Raw genomic sequence first — 2,418 nt, forward strand, 5'->3', positions numbered from 1 at the left:
TCCCAGCTACTCGGGAGGCTGAGGCACAAGAATTGCTTGAACCCGGGAGGCAGAGGTTGCATTGAGCCAAGACTGCGCCACTGTACTCCAGCCTTGGTGACAGAGCGAGACTCCATCTCAAAAAAAAAAAAAAAAAAAAGAATCCCTTTCTGTCTGACCCCCACCAGACGGCAGCAGAATTGTGTGGAGAGCTTGTTCCCGAGGGACCTGGGGGATGGAGCAGGCAATCCCTTCTCCCTCTGACCTCCAGGCCCCACTGAGCCCTCTGGACACAAGCACAATCAGGCACTTCATGCCTGGCAAGGGTCAGAATGAAAGGCCTGTGTCTGTCTGCTCCCCGCCTCCCTTTCTCCATCTTCAGATAATTCCATCTGCCCTTGGGCCAGAGCCTCATCTTTCTCCCTCCTTTCCCCCTCCTGCCCGCTGAGTTATTTACAAATATCTGGGAACAGAAGGGATTTCTTCAGTGCTCTGTAGTGCCTGCCACTGACTCAGGTCTCTAACATGCTGGGGGGCAGCGAGGGTAAAGATGCTTGTGGTCCTCTCCTGTCACCCACAGGAACCCAAAGAGCTCAATACACTGGGCGCAGTGGCTCATGCCTGTAATCCTAGTATTTTGGGAGGCTGAGGTGGGAGGATCACCTGAGGTCAGGAGTTCAAGACCAGCCTGGCCGACATAATGAAACCCCATCTCTACAAAAATTAGCCAGGCGTGGTGGTACGTGCCTGTAATCCCAGCTACTTGGGAGGCTGAGGCAGGAGAATCACTTGAACTCAGGAAGTGGAGGCTGCAGTGAGCTGAGATAACACCACTGCACTCCAGTCTGGGCAACAGAGAGAGACTCCATCTCAGAAAAAAAAAAAAAAGGCTCATGCCTGTAATCCCAGCACTTTGGGAGGCCGAGGTGGGCGGATCAAGAGGTCAGGAGATCGAGACCAGCCTGGCCAACATGGTGAAACCCCATCTCTACTAAAAATAAAAAAAAATTAGCTGGGCACGGTGGCAGGTGCCTGTAGTCCCAGCTACTTGGGAGGCTGAGGCAGGAGAATGGCGTGAACCCGGGAGGCGGAGCTTGCAGTGAGCTGAGATCGCTCCAGCCTGGGTGACAGAGCGAGACTCCGTCTCAAAAAAAAAAAAAAAAAAAAAAAAGACCTTGGCCTTGGCTAGACACGGTGTAATCCCAGCACTTTGGGAGGTGAGGCCGAGGCGGGCGGATCACCTGATGTCAGGAGTTTGAGACCACTCTGGCCAAGATGGTGAAACCCCATCTGTACTGAAAATACAAAAATTAGCTGGGCATGGTGGTGAGTGCCTGTAATCCCAGCTACTCAGGAGGCTGAGGCAGAGAATTGCTTGAACCCGGGAAGTGGAGGTTGCAGTGAGCTGAGATGGCGCCACTGCACTCCAGCCGGGGCGACAAAGCAAGACTCTGTCTCAAAAAAAAAAAAAAAGAAAAAGAAGAGCTCAATGGCTCCCCAAGGTCACACCGTGGCAGCCCATTTTCTGTTTCCCACTCTGTTCTCCTACATGGTTTGTCCCGGGTACAGGGTGAACCAGGAAGAGGATGAGTTACCGCCATTTCCCCATGGAGTCAAAGGGCTTCTTCCTCCTGGAAAATCCCCGGACACGGAAGTGACTAAGACCTAGTGGAGCTGCTGAACCTAAAAAGTAAGTTCAAATTCGGGGCCCCTCCTTCTGATAGCCATGTGGCCCAAAGAAGGGAAGCTGTCCGTGCAGCTGGGGGAGCTGATCTCCAACATGTTCTCCCCAAGCCCACCTCCTGCCACCCCACCCCAATGCTGAAGCCCAGACAAGCAGCCAGGAACTGGCGTCACCATCCCCAGTCCCGCAGACGCTCATCCCACCGCCACCACCCGTGAGCAACCATTCCGGGGCCTGACATTCTGTCGGCTTCACACCACCTCCCGGAGCCCCAGCCAGAAGCACTTCCTGGATAAAATATTAAACATGCAAATCTGAGACAGAGCCTTAACGAGCGACAGACTGCACGACCACAGCCTGGCAAACGAGACGCACGACGTCCGGGGGTGGGGGGGTGAGAGGTATATATAGATATAGACTTTGGATCTATCTGTGCAATGTGTGTGTAAGGCAGAGAACAGCAGGGATGGAAAAGTACCGCAGCAGCCTCCAGCTGGGGTGGCCTGAGGTGGCGGCAGGAGGCTGGCCGGGAGGGAGGGTCAAGAGGAGCCCCAGAGCCAGGCTCAGAGTGAGGGATGACAAAAGCCCTTTGTGCTTGGATTCTGTGCAGGGGGTGCCAGACACGCTGGGCAGGGGAATGGGCATTGGTTTTGGAGAAGGAAGTTGGTTAGAGGCAAGGCCTCCGAGTGGAAGAAAAGAAGGGGAGACAGAGGAGAGGCATAGACCTGTGTGGCAGGAGTAGGGGTGTCTAGAGG

General features: G+C 54.4%; 1 annotated feature.

Annotated features, from left to right (window-relative positions):
• Positions 1,462 to 1,756: an enhancer, noted in NCBI's record as "tiled region #2012; HepG2 Activating DNase matched - State 1:Tss, and K562 Activating non-DNase unmatched - State 7:EnhWF". NCBI's record gives its function as "activates a minimal TATA promoter and a strong SV40 promoter by Sharpr-MPRA in HepG2 and K562 cells {active_cell/tissue: HepG2 | K562}" and the evidence as "EXISTENCE:reporter gene assay evidence [ECO:0000049][PMID:27701403]".

The sequence above is a fragment of the Homo sapiens genome, chromosome 17, assembly GCF_000001405.40.
Source record: "Homo sapiens chromosome 17, GRCh38.p14 Primary Assembly".
Classification (NCBI taxonomy): Eukaryota; Metazoa; Chordata; class Mammalia; order Primates; family Hominidae; genus Homo; species Homo sapiens.